General features: G+C 39.8%; 1 long non-coding RNA gene across 1 annotated transcript in view; it reads right to left on the reverse strand.

Moving 5' to 3' along the window:
* LINC01722 (long intergenic non-protein coding RNA 1722) overlaps positions 1 to 20,871 on the reverse strand; it is an 87,316-nt gene that overhangs the window by 5,765 nt on the left and 60,680 nt on the right. The gene's annotated exons all lie outside the window — the stretch shown is intronic.

Here is a 20,871-nt window from a genome sequence, read left to right on the forward strand (position 1 = left end):
CCTCATTTGGATCAAATAAATTAACTGGTCTTTACCAACCAGTGTGTGGTCCACTGGGAATTTAACATCACTGAGACTTATTCATTCATGGCATTCCTCTCCAAAGATGACACTTCTCTAAATGCACAAACATGTTTGGGTGAGTGTCCCTTCCATGACACAGATCTGTACCTTCTAGGATACAAAGTGGGCAAAGTTTATCTGCACTGGCACCTCCTATTTGATAAAAACACAACAGGCCGGCTCTCTTTTCATTTGGGGAAACAGAGCTGCTTCCTAGCAGGCTTCATGAGGTCATGATGTTCTAGAGTGTTTATTGCCAAATAAATTTTTCTGACCTCAATACTCATGCTTGGCCATATTTATGTAGCAGCATCTCAACCCTTGGGCCATACTGCTTCAGCTTACCTATAAGGAGGACATGAAGGAATGTGTGAAACAAACACTGGGTCAAGGGTAAGACCTGAAAGAGCACAGTAAGCCTGATCACCTCGACATATCACAGCTATTAAATCCTTCTATTACACTATTAAATATTTAGGGAATCTTGTCATTACATTGTTAAATATGCTTCCATTTTTTTAAGCACTGCCCTCTCCGTTTAAATGCAAATACCTCTGAAAGGGTTAGTACACCAAACTTTTAATTTAGATCATTAGAATTTGCTTCTCCTCAATAGGAGGGAGCAGTGAATTAAGGACCAAGGACACCCGTGGCAGGGATGGAGTAGTCACTGTGATAACCTCAGACGTGTCTAATTCTGTAAAACTAGGATTCGGATCTCAAGGAGCAGCAATTCTGTACTAAGAAATTGGTTCTGTGCAGCCTTCTCTGGGGGTGATAATAACCATAATCATCATCATAATCATTAAGGCAACTGATATTTATTGGGGGCTTATTATGTTCCAGACACTTAGCTGAGAGCATGATACTATTGAGGCCACAGACAGGTTCGTTTGAGAATCTTAAATCTTCACTTATGACCCCTGCCAGCCTGCCAAAAGACTATGAGCAGATCTTAGTATACACCTCTTTCTTTTACCTGTAGACCAGGAGTACTCATTTTCTCTTTTGTGGAATTACCGAGATAAAATATATTCATTGTAAATATTGGTTACTCATTTAGCTGGTATGAGGTTATGCCTGGACAAGAAATACCACTTTCCTTGACTATCACAATTCAAGCATGGATCTTAGAGCCAAACTGCTCAGGTTAGAATCCTGGCTGTGTGTCCTCAGCTTCCCCATCTGTAAATTGGGGTGTAAAATGCCACTGCATAAGGTTTTCATGACAATTAAATGAGTTAACATATGTAAAGTGGCTGGCACATAGTATGTGAGCCTAAGGGCTAGCTCTTATTATTACATTATCATTATGCCAAAATATTGACTATGTAGAGTCTTGGCATAATGAAGGATGCAGAGCTGTGGACAGAGAGGATGTCTTTGCTCTCAGGCTTTAGATCTTCCCCTTAGTCAATGAGACTTTTCAAGCCAAATGGCCTCAATTGTCTATCAGCCACACGGTGGATCCAGGAACCCCCCTGCAAGGCTGTCCAGGACCTCTCCAAACTGTGCAGCATGGCCACTTTCTCTTCAAGGCTTTGCCAGTTTTCAGAAGCATTTCTGGGAGGGCAGCTACAGACCCTCCTCACTATTTTTCCCTGTTCTCATTCATGAAAAAAGGAAAATGCTTTTCTAGTCTAAAGATGGAAGAAAGATCTGGTCATCTGTATTTTTCTTAACTGTGAATGTTTAATTTTTCCTAGAAGTCTAGGGTTTAGGACACAAAAGCCTGGGAGATCTGCAGGCTATTTCTGGTTTCCAGGCCCTGCCTTAGGCATCCCTCCTCTGAAGCAACTGCCACCCGCATGATGGGGGAAAATTCAGTGAAAAAAGAAAAGAAGAAAGGTGAATATCTCCATACATTATTCTACCCTACTTAAACAAGAGGCTGTTTCTTAAATATGTAATTGCGAGTATCAGCACCTCAGTAGAAAGTCAGGTTCCCACTGCTTGTTCAGTCCTGAGAGCCCCTGAACACTGCCCTCTTGCCATTGCTGTCTTTTATTCTGTGTCCAGCATTGGACCCTGAAGTCTGTCCAGAATAGGAAATCAGAGTCCGGTGTGTTGCAGGTGCTGAGGGGACACATGCATCCGTTTCCATCCCTGGTAAGTGCCTGGTAAGTTTCTGCAGACCCGGGAATCCCACTTCTCAAATTGGCCCCCGACTGCTCAGCCACATTATCAATCCCTCCTGCTACCATCAGCAAATGAGGACGGGGAATGATTCCAGCTATGAACTGGACTCCTGGCAGGTTTGAATTCTAGGAAGGTCTGGTTGCTGCTGACTCCAACTTTGGTAGAAGTCAAGAGACCATTCCTTGCTTCAGCCAAGAAACAGAGTTCAAGTAAACCTGAAGCCCCACTCTTTATTTCCTGTCGAGACACTCCCTCTATCAGGGGTGTGTGTGTGTGTGTGTGTGTGTGTGTGTGTGTGTGTGTGTTACAGGTCTGAGTCTGATGTTGAAGGTTGAAATCCACAGAACATCTGGCTGCTGGGGAGGGAGGATGGCTAGAAGGTGAGGGAGGACAAGAACAAACTGGAAACTCACAAACGTGAGCTGGAGACCACAGAAATGGACTGAAACCAACCTCAGTTCTCATTTCTTCTGACCTTGGTCAGCTTCCTAAGACAAAGGAAGGACAGGGAATGGATCTGAAGGGACAAAGGGAAATCACTGGGCTTCTTAAATCGGTTAATTCTTTTTAGGAATCATCAGATATAAACGACTGAAGGGTACATAGTGGCCGGAGCAGCAAAGCTGCAGAAATATCTGAAGCTGTCACAGCAGCAAAAAGCAGGAGGTAAGGACACAGTTCAGTCTGACATAACTGCCCCTATCCTCAGCAGTATTGCAAGATACCTTACAATGCAGAAAAAGGCTAGGGCCATATCTAAATTTTAGGTAGAAATTGATGATGGATGTTTCCTGCAAGCTGACATAAATGTTATTACTCTTTTGCTCTAACGCTTTGGAAGCCACAGGGAAATTGCAGAATAAAACAAGTTTTAGGCTCTTGAGTCATCTGCCAATCTCCTGGCAGATATCTTTACATCTCAGAGCTGCCCCAAAGCAGTAGCATTATTTTTATGTATGCACATATAAAGAGGCATAAAAATAACACAAACATAAAAATAGTGCTGTGGCCCATCAGCCATGTGGCTCATCTTTGGGGTTATTCTAACCATGCTGTTCATCCGCATTGACTCACGCTTCAGAGAGAATATCTGGAAAAGGAGTGGGCAGAGCAGCCTGAGATCCTTAGACTTTACAGAGTGGCTGTGACCCACCCAGAAAATAAGCCATTTCCCTCAAATAAATTGAGTGCTGTAAAAGAAAGAAAATAACCCTTCCAGACCCATGAAGGCAAATCAGGATGATAGGAGAGAATAAAACAAAACAGAAAAGCATATCAGGTGCTAATGTGTGTGTGTGCGTGTGTGTGTGTATATATATATATATATATATACACATACGCACATGCATACATATACATACATGTATATATATACATACACACACGCATATATATACACACACACACGCATATATATACACACATGTATATATATATGCACACACGTACACACACACATACATAGAGAGACAGTGAGAGAGAGAGGACAGAGAGAAAGAGATACAGTATGATAAACGCTAAGAAAAAAGAGGAAGTACAGTAGTGCTGGGGTATAGGGACCACCAATTCTGCCTTGGAGAAATATATATATATATATATGTTCCTGAAATATAATAGGCTGAAACATATATATAAGCCTGAAACATAACGGGCTTTCAATAAATATTTGCTGAATTTTTCATTTTTGTTGTTATATACACTAAGTATAAAATAGAGTGCTAAACTGAAAATTCTCAGGCGTCAAACCCTCAGAGTGGGAAAAGCCTGTTGCCTGCAGTCCCTGAACAAGAATCCAGGTAGAGGTGGCCTAGTAAGGTTTGCCCAGCACTTTCCTAGAGACCGCTGATGGAAATAAATGGTGACCTTTCCCAGACAACATTGCCATATGAGATGACTAGATGGTGACCTTTCCCCGACAACATTGCCATATAAGATGACTAGAAACGTGCTAGGCCCCTGCCACAGATCAGGGTCCATCCAATCCAGAGCTATGCCCTGCTATGATGACAGTGCTTTGTTCCTGGAAGAATATGAAAGCCTCTGCCACCTTGATTTCACCCTGTGACACTGATCACTCTGAGCTGCAGGTGCTCAATGTTTGGTTGGAACATGTCACTTTTCGTATTTATTTCTCTTTCTGTCTCCTGTGCAAACCCTTTTTTGTTTATGGAAATCAGGCCTGGACTGAGAGAATAAAGGAAGACTGACTTTTCATTCTATATCTATCCTTTTTTTTTAAGTTGTTTTAAAACTTTTTCCTGTGAATTGTATAACATTTTCAATTAAAAAATGAGTTTAAAAGACCAAAAATCTACATGTTGCTTTCCACCAGTCTTCCTACCAATATTATTAGCAAGCGCTAGACCCAAGCACGACTTGCAGCCGGCTGGGAAGATTTGCTTTGATTCCAGCCTCTGACTCAATCCCATTTTTGCTACAAAGTAGGGCAACGAGATATAGCAGCAGGACTGGCCTCCTTTGCTGCATTTATTCCAGAGCTGCATGACTGTGAGTTTCTTTAACTGCAGAAGGCCTAGTGCACAGGACACAGCTCTGTGTGGCCCCCCTGTGGAGTTATTCTCTGACCCCCTGTCCGAGGTTGGGTAAGAGGAATGGATATGAAAGGCTAAACTTATTTGGCCTGTGCTTTCAACACCTGTGTAGCAATCCTCTTACCCAATATATTGAGTAGACAGAAGCAAAAGGATAGTCAATTATAATACGACAGCCCATTCTTTCATCAGATCCAGAATTCTCACAGCTTTCTATTTCAACTGACATTTGTTCCTTTTTAAATAAAGACCTTGTGCAAGCTTTATGAATATTTTTAATTAATAGATGCCTTCATCAAACACAAGAATAATTAACTGTTAAACTCACCAGAGAGCCCCCTAAAATTAGACTGATTATCTGGACCATAATTTGCTTTTTCAACACCACAGGGCACCCCCAGGACTCCAAATGCTTCGGTAACTCCCCCACATGCCTTTGCTCAGGGCATCTGAATCCTGCTCTGCTCCCTCCCTTCTAGAAGTGCACCTTCCTTTCTCCTAGCTTGTGACTTCTCTGCTTATTTGACCTCTCTCCTTCTCCAAAAATTGTAATGAACACAGCTCTCTTCTCTGCTTTGGTGCTCAGCTGCAACCTCTGCATGGAGAGCAATTATGGAGTAGAAGGAAGCAGGATGGATCATTTGGAGTTGGTCACAAGAAGCCAGAAGAGAAAGTGGAGAAACAAAAAGTGAAGGAAAGTGAAGGCAAATGTTTTCTCCAGCTGGCAAAAATACTTTAGGAAAATTGGCCCTGATTTAGACTGTGTGAAGGCAGGTCTTGCCTTTCATAACAAAAATCAAGGCCATCTTCTGAGAGTCAAATCAATTGAAGTTGGTTCTTCTTGAAATAAAGACCTTATGCAGGCTCATTTTTATGTAAATATTTTTAATTAATAGATGCCTTCATCAAACACAAGAAGAATTAAGCATTAACACTCACCAGAGACTCTGAAATTAGATTGATTATCTGCATCTTAATTTGCTTTTTTGACATTACTAATTTATTTTTAATAGTTCTGTAATTTAGCTTTATCTATTTCTTATTCTGCTTGACAGATCCAAGTGCCTGCAGCTCACCAGTCAGCCTCTATAATCTTTAGGTACTGCTGTCAGCACAGTATATTAATTTTTAAATTATCCAGCCAGTGTGAGGAAGAACATCAATTAATTTCCATATGGGAATCAAGCTAACATCTCTTTCCCCTCCCCAGTAATGGTGAAATTTAAATGAAGGAGAGGGCCAACTGCAAGGATAATCTAGATAAAGATAGGAAATTCTCACTCTTATATTACAGAATCTGCTGCCCTTGAAATGCCTTCCATTTGAATCAGTGCCTTAAAATCATTATTGTAGTGAAAATAAATGTTCCTTTGCTGCTACCTGTTATCCATAGAGTAAGTCATGGAAAAGCAGGGGATGGAGGGCAGGGACCTGTAATATTATGTTCATGGAAATATCCCAGGCACCTAGAACGATGTCTAGATGCAGTAGGCATCCAATAAATACTTGTTACAATACATTTACAAAAACACTAGATTGTGTATCTAGCAAACACTGCTGATGCTCTCTGAAGCTGAAACAAACTTGATTCATAACATGTAAAGTGGAGACAGTAGACACAGGATGGTTTTCAGCAACAAGCAAGGACAAGCAAAATCAGACAAAAGAGAATCACCTAAATTGCCATGACAAATGAATGAAAAGCAGGGAATGTTTACTTCTTTGCAAGGGATCATTTAGAACCATCATTTGTTTTCACGGACATGATAGATGATAGATAGATAGATAGATAGATAGATAGATAGATAGATAGATAGATAGATAGACAGACAGACAGATAGATAGATAGATAACACATTGAATGAGGTGAGCAGAGATTTGATATGACTTATTTGGAGAGAGTAATTGTGAGAGTCTATGGTAGGCAAACCACATGTAAGAAATTGGCTTAATTCTGACCCTGAAATTTAGACAGGGCATTGATAAACAGGTGGCCTCCAGAGGGGCAGATGAAAATGGGAGGGCATATGGAGAAAGGCTGCAGTATCTGGCAATGTTTAGTGTAAAGGAAAGATCTAAAGGGCCAATGGCATCTATATTGAACAAGAGGGAAGAACTGGATCAATGAAAACAGATATTTATTCCAGCATAAAAATATTTAAAGCAAATGAAAGTGACCCAAGGCTGCCATTCCAGCATAGACTCTCAATGCTTCTCATCTGCACAGCTGGATTAGACTCTTTCTTCGCCTTCCTACCTTCTGACTCCCTGATCCCAATCCATCCCAGTCCATCCCTGCCACTAGTGTCAGCCTGGTATTTCTAAAGCACGACATCCACTGCATCCCATCCAAGCTCAAAATCTCTTCAGTGGCTTCCAACTTCTTGTGTTGAACCAGATTCAAATTTCTGAGTCAGGCATTGAAGGATAGCTGCAGTAGGGCCTCAATTTACCTTTCCAGGGATCCTCCACATACCACACATGCACATCTTTCCCCCAGCTAAGCCAAAGAAACTCACTTGTCTTCAAACCAACATTATGACCCCTGCAAACATCAGCCCTGTGTTTCATGTGTAATCTCTCTGTGTGTCGTGATCCCTGAGCATCTCAGGTTGTCAAAAATCTCTCCACTTTTCAAAGGACCTTTTCCATTTGTTTCCATTTCTGATGAGATGAACACTTTATTAGTCAAAAAAAATTTACCAGAATTTCTCTCTAAAAGGAAGCTCCCTTTGTTTTTGGAAAACCCCTTAGAAACCTCATGGGGTCAGAAGCAAGAGCAGAAAAGCAGAATCCCAAATCAAAAAGTGGAATGACTGAGTGTCTGTGCATGGAAAAAAAGGTAAACAACAGAGTTATTTATGCAGGGTAAATTAGAACTGTAAGATTTGCATGCTGAAATCACGGCTGCTATGTGGCCCTTAGATTGGAGTATGAATAGAGAGGGCAGTTGCATTAATCCAGATGAATATCATGAAGGCACAGCCATGGGCATGCTAGTAGAGAGGGTGAGAAATGGTCAGGTTGAAGGCATTTATTAGACAGATCCATCAGGTTCACTGATGATCATATGTGGGAAGGGGATGAATTATGGCTAAACACCTCAATCTCTGTCTTGAGAAATGGGGTGGTTGGTTGTTAGAGCCAAAACTGAGATCAGCAACAATGGGCTTGGGGGAGGTGGAAATCAAACATTGCATTTTGGATGGTTGTCTCAGATGTCTGTGAAACATCTACATGGAAATATGAAACAGGCAATTGGATAAGTAAGATAAAAGTCTAAAGGAAAGATGTAGTTTAGATAAACACAATTAGGAGCTATTATTATAAGACTACGTAAAATTATAAAAATGGATTAGATGACATAGGGAAGGGAAGAAAAGAAAGAAAAAAGATTCTAGCTCAGTTCTTAGTCTTTAGAAATCCTAGAATTGGGGTTGAATGAAAGCAAGGGAATCTTTAATGGGGACAGAGGAAATGCAGCCCAAAAGGAAGTGGGCATTCAGGAGGCGTAATGTCCACAGGCAGGAAAATGGGAGACTCTCCCAGGAGAAGTGAGTGCTAACCATCTCAAGTATTACTAAGAAACCAAATAGCATGTGAACATAAAGTCAGTCTTACCTCAATAAAGCTTCTAATTTACTTAAATATTTTTGAAAGCACGAGGAGATTGAATGCTGAACTTCGAGGGCAGGACTTAGCCTTTGATAGGAGTATGAACTCTTTTTCCAAGATGATAAGAGAGAGAAGATGGATACACTTAGAGATCCATAAGTCTCCACAGAGCATGATGTCCCTGCAAGCAGCAGCTCTCTGAGATAGGAAGCAGTTAGTGATCTCATTGCCACATGAGTCCAACACCTGCAGTCCCCTTGACTCTGAACTCCAGCAACAGTACATTGGCATGCCTTTCATGGCAGCAATTTTTGAATTTGTCTACAAGAATGTACATTCCTTGAGGGAATAAACAGCACTTCTCTACATTTTGTGCAGCACCTAACATTGTATCTAGCTTGGAAGTCTTTAATTTGTGCTTTCCACTTGAGATCCTGATTTTTTTTTTGAAACATTGCTGAAAATTTCCTAGCATCATCAATATGTTATAAAAGATAGAAGAACCTGACCCAGAAATTAGTAAAATCACAAATGAGTTAGTCTATAAATATATTACTTTTCTAATTTAATTAGTAAAATCACAAATGAGTTAGTCTATAAATATGTTACTTTTCTAATTTAAGGTGAAAATCCTCACACAAGCTAAAGAAAAATTAAAGGGATTAGTTACACAAGGGATGGGACTATTTGATAGTGGAGTAGGGATTGGTTAAGAGAAAAGCTCAAAGCTGATCTCAGTCTTTCCTCTGAACTGAAGATTATAAGAGGAGCATGCCAGAAACCAAAGCCATAGTGTTTACAGAAAATGTATTTTAAAATAATTTACTCCAGGGCTTGAAATGGAAATGCTCATTTGCAACACAAAGATCTGGAGTTCCAGGAGCAGTTTGTGTCAGATGATGTTGCATTTACATCTCATGCAGAGTAACTTACCATAGCCTTTCATTCAGAGCATATTAACCAGTTTACAGTCTTAAGAGTGGCAAAGTAATCTTGGGATTTATAGGAGAGTCTTATCCAAAATAAATGAGGCCGGAGGTAAGAGGAAGACTTAGCAAGAAGGCTAGAAAGAACTAAAAAAATGGAGACATCAAGCAAGCAAGTCTAAGCTATTTTAACATAGTCTTGAATGTAGAAGGATGTGGCAGTCAGACCAAGTAGGAAGGGGCACCAGAGACATTTGAGAAGTGACCAAGGGGTTACTTCAGTTTCTGATCACAAATCTCACACCTTGTGTTTTCCTTGCAAGGTAACTTGCAATTCCTTAACTCATCACTTTAAAAAAACAAACAAACAAACCAACAAAAAAAGCGGTCATCTGAGCCCTCACTTCCTCCATCCAGAAAAGTCTCTTTTGCCATGTTTCCCTCAGTTCTTAACAATGGAGGTTTCAGATAATGCTTTTGGTTTTCCAGTGCACTGGGGACCACTAATGCCTGCTCTGCCAGATGAGTTTGCAGACTCTGTGGAACACGGGAGCCACCTAAATTATCCCTCTTGGAAGAGATCACAGAACTCACAGAAAATACTTGGAATATTAGAATCCAGAACCTTCCTTCCAGAATACACAAAGCCCTAGTCCAACTCACTCATTTTTCAAAGGAGAAAAATTGAGATACTATGTGAGTTGCACAGCTAGCTATGTGCAAAACCAAGACAAGAATGAGTAATCCAGCATGATGCCATGGATCAATTTCTCACCCTGAGCCTCAACTTCTCCATTGGTAAGTAGAGATAATAATGATCATTTTGCTGGGTGGCAGGGAACAAAATAATTGATGTATGTAAAATACCTACCACAGTGATTGGCTTGATTGACACGTAGCAGAAGTTCAAAAAATTGGTCTCTTCTCTTTCTCCCTTTCTTGTACCCACAACACAATGCATTACTTAATGCTATGAGAAACAACAGATTAAAGAACACACAAACCTTTTGCCAGTTTCAAGAACACCTAGAGAAGGAAATTTTCAGCATCCACTACATCTCAAATCAGTATGTTTCTGTATGTTCTATCCACAGTTAGACTGTTAAATAGCTTAGAAGTGTTTTATGTTGCTTCTTACATATGCTTCACCTTTCCTAGCATCTTCTCTCACAGCTGTGATACCCTAGGAGGCTCAGGAGGCATGGGATAAGAGCTTGTGTCTCTCAGGCTTTCATCAGCACCCTCAATGTGACCCATTCTCTCTACAGCAAGAGAAGAAAGGTTGTTCCTCTTCAGATGAGAACTGAATTTGCTTGTCTCTGCAGCTCCTCAGGATTTAGAAGAATGAATGTTCAGTGGCAATCAGCAGCCCATATAGACCCACTAGAAACTTAGATATTTCTATATGGTCAATTGAAATAGCAGCAAAGTGAGAGATGTTTTCTATCTATATGTTTTGGCGGAAAAAAATGAAGAAAAGAGAAGTGGATGGGCAAGAACTAGGAAAATGGGGATCCTGAAGTATGCACAAGGTACAGAAAGTCAATTTTGTCTCTCTCCACCTAATCAGTCGTTTCACATCTTGAATAGATAGTTCCCAAAATGTTAATCATCACATTAGCTTCCCTCTAAATCCTGGCTACTACCATCCTATCTTTTTTAATCCTGAAAAATATAAAAGCATTAATATTCCAGAGAAAAAATATTAATAATTGCTTATATAGTTTAATTCAGGTTAAGCTTGTTTTCTATGAGGAATCACAAAAGTTCTACTGCGAGGATCCAAGCACACACACAAAAAAACTCTAAGAGACAAGAGTTAAAATCTCTCATTTCAGCTGAGTTGTAATTTAAAAAAAAAAAAGAAAAAGAAGGAGAAGAAGAAAAGAAAGTTTTACAAAGATTATTTAAGTTTCACGGAAGGCATATTGGCATCAGGTATGTCTGGTTTTCATCTAACTTGAAAAAGCCTTCGATTTCAAAAATGAAACTATGCAAATGATTAGTTAGTCATTTTGTGTAAATGCTTTAGGATTTAGATGTTACTGTGGAAAATAAAGTAAAACAAAACAGCTTTAGTACAGCCCCAGTAAGCTTAGTCCATGGACAGCACATTAAATCCTGAATTAAACACTCCACCAAACTCTTCCTAATGAGCCATCCAAGTCTCTGATGTATATAATATACCTTTTTAAAAATGCATGAATACATATTCCACCCAGAGTTTTGGATGGCTCCTTTGGGTTATTTAAGTTTCAAAGGAGTCCATCAGTATCCCAGGTATAACATTCTATAAATGCCTTAAAAATGAAAATTCAGAAATTAGAAGCTCAAAATACCTTGAAGGGGAGCAATGTATTAGGAAAAAAAAAAACAGGCCATTCAAAGGCAAGGTTGATGAGGCATCTGCCTCCCAGAATTTCCTATCTCTGTCAGTTTGGGTCACAACCCTTAAAACAGCTGTAACTGTGTTCCTTCCAATCTAATTATACAACTCTTGGATAGCTTTGTTTATAATTCGAATCCAATAACCTCCCCTGACTCTTCTCTGGGCTGCTGTTACATGGCTACTCTTGGATGCTAGCATGCAATTGTAGAGACTGAGCAAGGAGGGATAGGCTGCTCAAAGCACTGGGATGGAGTCCCCACAGGCTCTTCTTCAAAGAATGTGAAGGTTGGTGCATCCCAGCCTAAGGAAGTTGGTGAGTCCAGAAAGGAAATACTTGTGGGTAGAGAAGAGTGAAGAAATCACAACAGAGGCTTACAGACAAGAAGCAGATGTCATCTTTCTTCCAGGGAGGCACAAGAAATAAACAGTGGATGACTTAGCAAGCAAGATGAGTCAGGAGGGAGAAGAGAGGGCATTTGGGAGAATGAAGGAACAAGTAGGAGTAGATCAGCATTAGCTGGGCAAATTCATTGTGCCTATGAATTCATTTAGCCTCATTGCAACTCTGACGGATAGCTGGGATTAGTTTTATTCTACAGAGGAGGTAACTGCATTCCAGGGAGATTTGGAAATCTCCATGAAATCACACAGCTAACAAGGGATAGAGCCAGAACTCACCCCCAGGACAAGATGACTCCAGAGCCTGTAGGCTGTGGTCCTGCTGTCTAGTGAAGGATGTATACTGAAACTGATTCCAGGGACTGTGGAAATGGGAAGGGGTGTCTGGAGGAACCTAGAAGAGCTATACCAAAATCTGTCCAACACAATCTGACTGCCCACCTGCAGTGTGTTTCCTCAAGTGTAAAAATATAAATCCCACTTCCTAGGGTTGTGGTAAGGATTTAAAAAGTTAGCATATGCAATGCACATGGCACATATACCTGGCACATTGAAAGTATCCAATGAGTGGGAGCTGTTTATTTTTATGTTGCTTGCCTAATGATTCATTTTACCACATCTGCTTGTAGAGAGATTTATGTTATGGTTCCATAGCTGTCTGTACATGAGAGCAAGTATTTGATAGTGTTTCAAGATTCTATAAATCCTACTCAGAATTTTTTCCAGTAGTAGAGAAATAAGTGATGATGAGCTAAGTGTGACTTGAACAGATCAACCTGGAGAGAACATTGTGGATCATGACCTAAGTTTAACAAAGTAAGACCTGGAAAGCTAGTTAATTCCAAAGGTTGAAGTTGAACATAGAAGCACATTTGTCATTGCTGTGTAATTTAGATCTTTAAATAACTGATAAAAAGTAAATCTCAACTTTCATACAAGGACAAAGGAAGGAATAGCTCACTGAATCTGATGATGCCACCATTTAGCACAAGTGGACTTGGTGGCTTGGAAGAGTCAGCTGACTTGTCCCACACGTCAGAACCAAGTCTGGACTTCCCACATCTAGTATCTGGATGCATTGTTCATTCAACTATGCCAGAGTCCTAGCAGTGTTGATGGTCATGCTAAAACACATCTAGACCTGACACATTCTCCTTGTAGTCAATGATGCGGTAAGATGATGCAGATTTTTCATGGCACCAGTAAGTGAACCAGATGGTCAGTCAAAAATGACATGCCCAGCCTCCAGAATCATCATTTCCAAAATTACGGGGATACTGATTGGCAAAGAAACTAAACACTTATCATGTCCTCTTAGAACTCTTGCTCCCACAAGTACAGAAGAAAAGTTAAGAGGTGACTTCCTGCCACAGCATAATTCCTGGGTGGAGAGATGATGGGAGGAGTGGGGAGAGTGGTCACACATCTTTTGTCAGTTGCAAGCCTGATCCCTGCTAGGATGCAAACCCCTACAGAATGAACCTCTGTGAACTCCACTCATTCCCCCTTTTACTTCCCCTCAATTTTTCTCCGCTCTTTTTCAAGACTCTTCTCCTCTCTCTAAAGAAGATGTTTTATTTGCAACAACATGGATGGAACTAGAGATCACTATGTTAAGTGAAATAAGCCAGGCACAGAAAGACAAAACATCCTATGGTCTCATTTATTTGTGAAATCTAAAAATCAAAACAATTATATTCATGGAGATAGAGAGTAAAAGAATGGTTACTAGAGGCTGGGAAGTGTAGTGGGGGTATGGGGTAAAGGTGGGGATGATTAATAAGTATTAAAAACAGAAAGAAGTAAAACCTACTATTTGATAGCACAACAGTGTGACTACAGTCAGTAATAACTTAATTATACATTTTAAAATAACTAAAAGAGTATAATTAGATTGTAATGTGAAGTATAAATGCTTGAGGGGATGGATACCCCATTCTCCATGGTGTGATTATTACACATTGCATGCCTGTATCAAAACATCTCATGTACCCCCAAAATATATACACCTACTATGTACCCACAAAAATTAAAAATTAAAAAAAAGATTTTAGGTTAAGATTTAAAGATAAGAAGGAAAGTAAAAAAGGAGTCTTCTATTTTATGTTTATTTGTTTTTTCAAATCCTAAGCCTGGACAAAGGCTAGGTACCATTTCTTCAAGTTACACTCACTATCTCAGATAGTCCCAGCAAGAAGGGGTGGGCTTTTCATGCATCTCAGAGGTATGCAGTTATCCAACCACTGTGTGCTGGCACTGCAGTGGGTATAATGGGTAACAAGAGAAGGCCAAGACATAGTCACAGCCAGGTTGGGAGAAAAGGAAAAGTAACTATGAAGGTTTTTCTTGTAAGGCTGATCTGATCTAATTATAAAATTCTGACACAAAGAAGCCCAGGCTACAAGTGCTATACTAAAAAAAAAAAAAATAGTGGGGAAGGGGTTAGGGGTTCTTTCCTTTAAATGTATTCCCTAATGTCAATGGAATTAGTTGAAATTCCTAATAACTGCAGATGTCAACCTCTTTCCCCAGAGACTGTGCTCTTCATTTGGGCTTATGTCTCTGTTGGCCCTGCCTTACCCTTCTGGGTTGTAAGGTGCTTTACTAAGCTCTTGGTACTAGCCCAACCAGAATGGTTCCCTGGGTTCTGAGAAGTCCTGCCCCAAGTGTCCCCCTGATGCTTGAAATCCTATCAGGGAGGATGGAGAAATTTTACACACAAATGTCCTCATGAGTGGCAGTTCAGTGACTTCAATCCATACAGTCCAAATGACAGAGAGAAAAGATACCTGCCAGATGCAGAGTTTTAAGGAAATCAAAGAAAGTCGGTATGTGGGAGAAAGATACAAAAGGAGAGGGCAGAGCCATTCAGAGAAACGTCATCTCGTGGCTAAGGTGACACTTGACTTTCCTCAGGATGCTGACTAGTTCTCCCACCTGCTTTGCCTATCCAGATTTTGTTCTGGGTGAAACTGACTTACCCATTTCCTCCAATTGGATCATCTCAGCCACAATCCCAGCACCAGCCTCCACTATGAGAGTGGGAATGGGTAGGTCTTTAGAAAAAAGGGAACTCAGGCTGAGTTGTTTGTCAGTCTTCTTGGCTTTGTTGTTTGTGTGGTCTCAACTTTAATTTGGATTGAGTTTTCTTTCTCTTTCTCTTTTGGGCATAAGGCTTTCTGCCCAAAATGAAGTGTTTTGAAGCACATCCCAGCCTGTTCTGAATTATAAAAGATTGAGTTAATTAACCTTCCCCCAGTTGATTACTTTCAACCTTTTTGTTGGCACATTGGGAAAATGTATTAGCGGTTACTAATTAAAGGTATTGAATATACCTTTATACTTCTTCAAATTCTTGGACTCCTGAGCTAAGTTGATTAAGAAGAAAGGGGAAAAGTTTATGTTGAATTTATCTTTGAAAATAGCTAGAAGAGACTACAAATAAACCAAGAAAAGGGAAGTTGTGACCTTATTTTTAACCTCTTCGTCCCTATAGTTTTGGGACTATTTTTAAGAATAATAGCTAATGATTTTTAAGTGCTTATCACACACAAGAACCATAATAAAAGCTTGCATGTAACATCTCATTTAAATTTCTCTATTCTCTGAGATAGATATGAATTCCAGTCCCATATTACAGATGAGTAAATTAGTTTAGAAGTCAAGCAAATTGCCCAAGATCACAAAGGTAGTACACGCCAGAGGCATAATGTAATGTTGGTGGTTTGTCTCTAAAGACAACGCATTTAATCTCAACAGCGTTGACCTAAATGATGATGTAATCATAGTTTTTGGAGTTGGAAACCTAAATGCCTGCTTGTAATTTCGAAGTTCATCATATTTTCTTATAACTCCTTTCTGCATTGGTTATTTAGTGTTGCATAACAAATTATCCCAAACATTTATTATCCCACACAGCTACAGCACTCAGGAATCCAGGAGCAGCTCAGCTGGGTGGGTCTGGTTCAGGGTCCCCGTGAGGTTGAAGTCAAGCTGGTAGCCAGGGCTGCAGGCATCTTTAGGCTCCACTGTGGCTGGAGTATCTGCTTCCAGGCTCACTCATGCAGTTGTTGACAGGTGTCAGCTCTTCACTGACTTTTGGCCAGAGACTCAAATTCTTCACCATGTGGGCCTCACCATAGGCAGCCTGAATGTCCTCATGACATGATAGCTGCATTCTCCCAGATCAAGTGACCCAAGAGGTATAAAGGTCATGATGGAAGCTGAAGTTCTTCACAGCTTAATCTCAAAGCTAAGACAGGGAATTTATTTTGAAAAGTGATTTCAGGTAACAGGAGTGGAGGACTGGGAAGAATAAAATATGAGAGGAGGGAAAGTCATCCAAGCGGTAATTATTGAGCTGGGCAACTGGGCTTCATCAACTGGGGATGGAGTCCTCTGGGAGTCTGTGTAAAGTATGCCTAGAATTATCCACCTAAAAACAGAAGAGTATGTATTTATCCAAAAGATCCTGTCCCCCAGTGATCAAGGGTGGGCTCAGGGAGTAGTGACAATCAGGCAGACAGCAAGAGATGTGGTGAGTTGCCAAGTGTACTTGGGTTGTGTTTGAATGCAGCATGTGTCCACAGCAATGACCAGAGCAAAAAGTTGGGATGGGACAATGTACATGTCTAATATATATGCATTAATCCCAATTAAGGCTAGAGACAAGGCCTCATTTATTTTTGTACCTTAGTGCATAAACTAGAGTCTAGTAGCTGGCAAATCTGTGCCATCCCATGTAATCAGTCTGGAGGCCCTTAATTTATTCAACACATAGGTACTGTACACATACTATGAGATAGACACCATGCAATACACTGATAGTCCTGTTGGAGCAATTTACAAAAATATTTAATAACCAGTATTACACAGATAATAAAATGCACACCAACCCTTCCCAGGCAGTAGGGTTACCCTGGAATATGCTTTCTTAATTCAAATCCGGAGATAGTTGAGTAATGAGCCATAAACTTCATTTTTACCGCGTGTCAAAGAGATAGGTCTGTTTGGATTTGGGGATGGAGTATGAAGGAAGGAGATGTTTTAGGGTGACTTCAAGAGAGGGGAGTGAGAATGATCGTTGAATAAAGAAGGAAAAGGCATTTCCAGGGTGGGAGGAAGGATGGGGAGAAAATGCACATGAAAGCACAGATCAACCATGTAAAAATGAATGGACCTCCCTTTATGTAGCTGAGAGTCAAGCTGGGAAACAAATACTAAATTAAAAAGTGTCAGAATCACCAAGTATCAATGTAAAGAAGTGCAAAGTATTTTTAAAAAAAAGCATATAAAAGTAGGGTATTTGGGGCCATATTAAAAATGTAAACTTCAATCTAAGGAGTCATAGAAAGAAAAGCTTTATTCTTTGCTATAGTCTGGATGCTGAGCTTCTGGAAGAGCTGTTCAGAAATGTTTATTGATCAAATAAATAAATAGAATCTAAACTGCTCATCTTAAAAAGAGGAAACTGGCCAGGCGCTGTGGCTCATGCCTGTAATCCCAGCACTTTGAGAGGCCGAGGCAGGCGGATCACTTGAGGTCAGGAGTTCAAGACTAGCCTGGCCAACATGGTGAAACCTTGTCTCTAATAAAATAAAAATAATTAGCTGGGCATGATGGCGGGTGCCTGTAATCCCAGCTACTCAGGAAGCTGAGACAGGAGAATCGCTTGAACCTGGGAGATGGTGGTTGTGGTGAGCCGAGATCGCACCACTCCAGCCAGGGAGGCTGAGTGAGACTCTGTCTCAAAAAACAAACAAACAAACAAACAAAAAAGAGGAAACTAAATCTTGGACTTTCGTTCTGATTCAGGAAGTTGCCAGACACTCTCACTGCCACCCACCCTAGCCAAAAAAGCAAAAAGTAAGCTCTAAATCATTTTACAACCCATTAGAGAGCTGACGACACTAAGAAACCTAAATGAAATAAAATCTAGAAATTAACAAACACTTCCAAGGAGAGAAGACACTCAAGATTGCTGTGTCCCCAGCAGAGTGATGGGAAGAAAAGGACTCCTCTATAGACAGAAACCTGAACTACGAGAAACGCTAAAAGACATGTTACCGGCTGAAGGAAAGTATTAGACAGAAACTCAGATTAATAGTAATGAACAAGGAGTACCAAAAAGGGTAAACATAAAATACTTTTAAATTATCTGTATTATATTATAGGAAATTTATTTAAAAGGCTATTGACCAAAACAAAAAATTTAATGAAAGTATACTGTAGGGTTTATAGCATATAATGGTAAAATAAATGACAACAAGTGCATAAAGGCTAGAAGAGAAGCAAATTTAGTGGTACTCTTACAAATCATTACAGGCATGGGAAGGCATATAACTGTGACAATTAAAATTTTTTATTATTACACAGAACAACTATTTTTAAATTATGTAAATATGTAGAGCTAAGAAAAATAAGGAGACTAGGTAAAATGGAATAGTGGGGGGAAAAAACTTCATTTATCCAAAAGATGACAGGAAATGAGAAGCAAAGCAAAAAGCAAAAAAGGTGAGAGAATAAAAATGAATATCAAGGCAATAGACATAAACTCAACAACAATAATAATTACATTAAATTTAAGTGGGAAGAAAAGACCATTGAAAGGCAGAGACTGACAAAACAAAAAGTAAGATCCAACTATTTAATATTTGTGGTCTAAGAGAATCCTCTAAATATAAAGACACAAACAGATTGAAAATGTAAGGTGGGAAAAGGATCTAACAAGTAAACTTAAAGCAAAGGAAAGCTGGCTATAATATTAGTATCAGATAAAGTAAATTTTAAAGCAGAAAGTATCACAAGAGATAAGAAAGGACGTTTCACAATGATGAAAGAAGAAATTCATCCAGAAGACATAATCTCAAATTATGCATCAAATAACAGTTCTTCAAAATACATTAGTTTATTAAGCAAAAACTAACACAACTGAAGGAAGAAATAGTCAAATCTACAATCCTAATCAGAGATCTAGGCAAAAAGATTTACAAGGTTTATACGTGATAAAGGACTTATATAGAAAACATATCAAAATCTCTTACAACTCAATAAGAAAACAGAAAAAAATCCAATTTAAGATATGCACAAAAGACTTAAATAGACACATCATAAAGGAAGATACAACAATGCCCAATAAACACATGAAAAGATTCTCACCACCATTACTCATCAGGGAAATGAAAATTAAAAACGCAGTGAAATGTCACTCTACACCTACTGGAAGAGCTAAAATCCACAAGGCAAGGATGTGAAGGAACTGAAACTCTAATAAATTGTTGATTGGAGGTAATATATCATAACCAGTTTGGAAAACAATTTGCCTTATAACCCAATAATACCATTTTCAGGTATTTACCAAGGAGGAAAGAAAACATCTGCTGAAAACAAAGCAGCTTTATTCATAGTAGCCAAAATCTGGAAACAACCCAAACGTCTATCACCAGGTAAACATGTAAACAAATTGTGGATGTTCATGCAATGGAATGCTAGTCAGCAATAAAAAGAACAAACTACTGAGACACACAACATGAATGAATCTCAAAAAACATCACATTGATCAAAAGAAGCCAAATGCAAAGAGATTGCATTGTGTGATGCCATTTATAGGAAACTCAAGAATGGGCAAACTAAGCTAGTGATAGAAATTAAAAAACAGTTGCCTCTAGAGAGGGGGAGGTAGAATTGCTAGAAAGGGGCATGAAGGGATTTGCTGGAGTGATAGAAAATGGTCAATAGCTTGTTGGGGATGGTGGTCATGAATGTGGAACCTTGTCAAAACTCATCAAACAGTAAGAATAGTAAAATTTCTTCATTTTACTTTATAGTATGCAAATCATACCTCAGATCAAAAATAGAAAAATTCAAACATTAAGGAACTTGAAATCTTTACGTCAATCAAATATTGCTTCAATAATGTTGATGTGGTTTGGCTGTGTCCCCACCTAAATCTCAACTTGAATTGTATCTCCCAGAATTCCCACATGTTGTGGGAGGCACCCAGGGGGAGGTAATTGAATCATGGGGGCTGGTCTTTCCCATGCTATTCTCTTGATAGTGAATAAATCTCATGAGATCCGATGGGTTTATCAGGGGTTTCCGCTTTTCCATCTCTCTCATTTTCTCTTGCCGCTACCATGTAAAAAGTGCCTTTCATCTCCTGCCATGATTCTGAGGCCTCCCCAGCCATGTGGAACTGTAAGACCAATTAAACCTCTTTTTCTTCCCAGTCTCAGGTATGTCTTTATCAGCAACATGAAAATGAACTAATACAAATGTCAAGTACCAAACAATTCCAAAACTTAGTGGTTTACAACAGCAAACATTTGCTTCTGCTCACAAGTGTGCAGGTTGACCAGTAGTACTTGGGGACTCATCTTATCTGGAGGCTACAGCAGCCACCCAGGGCAAGTTCTTCTCATGGCACTGGCAAAAGCAGAAGAGAAATAAGCAGTGACAGCCCTTAGAGCCTCAGCTTGTAACTAGCAACCTGTCATATCCACCTTCCATTGGCCAAAGCAAGTCAACTGACCAAGGCCAAAGCCAATGGACCAGAAAAGATACCTTACCCCCAGTGAACAATGGCAAGAGTGGAGAGGGAGGAAAAACTTAGGACATACAATACAATCTCATTAATCCAAATTAGTGTGAGAGGTGAAACAGAAACTGGGTCTCCGGACAACAAGCTCAGTGCCTCTGCCTCAGGCCACGCTGTCTCCACATTGTCTGGAAGCCAACAAGCTGGACTCCAGCTGTGTTCCAGGGGAAAGTTCCAGCACATCTTCCCACT

This window comes from Homo sapiens, chromosome 20 (assembly GCF_000001405.40).
Source record: "Homo sapiens chromosome 20, GRCh38.p14 Primary Assembly".
NCBI lineage: Eukaryota > Metazoa > Chordata > Mammalia > Primates > Hominidae > Homo > Homo sapiens.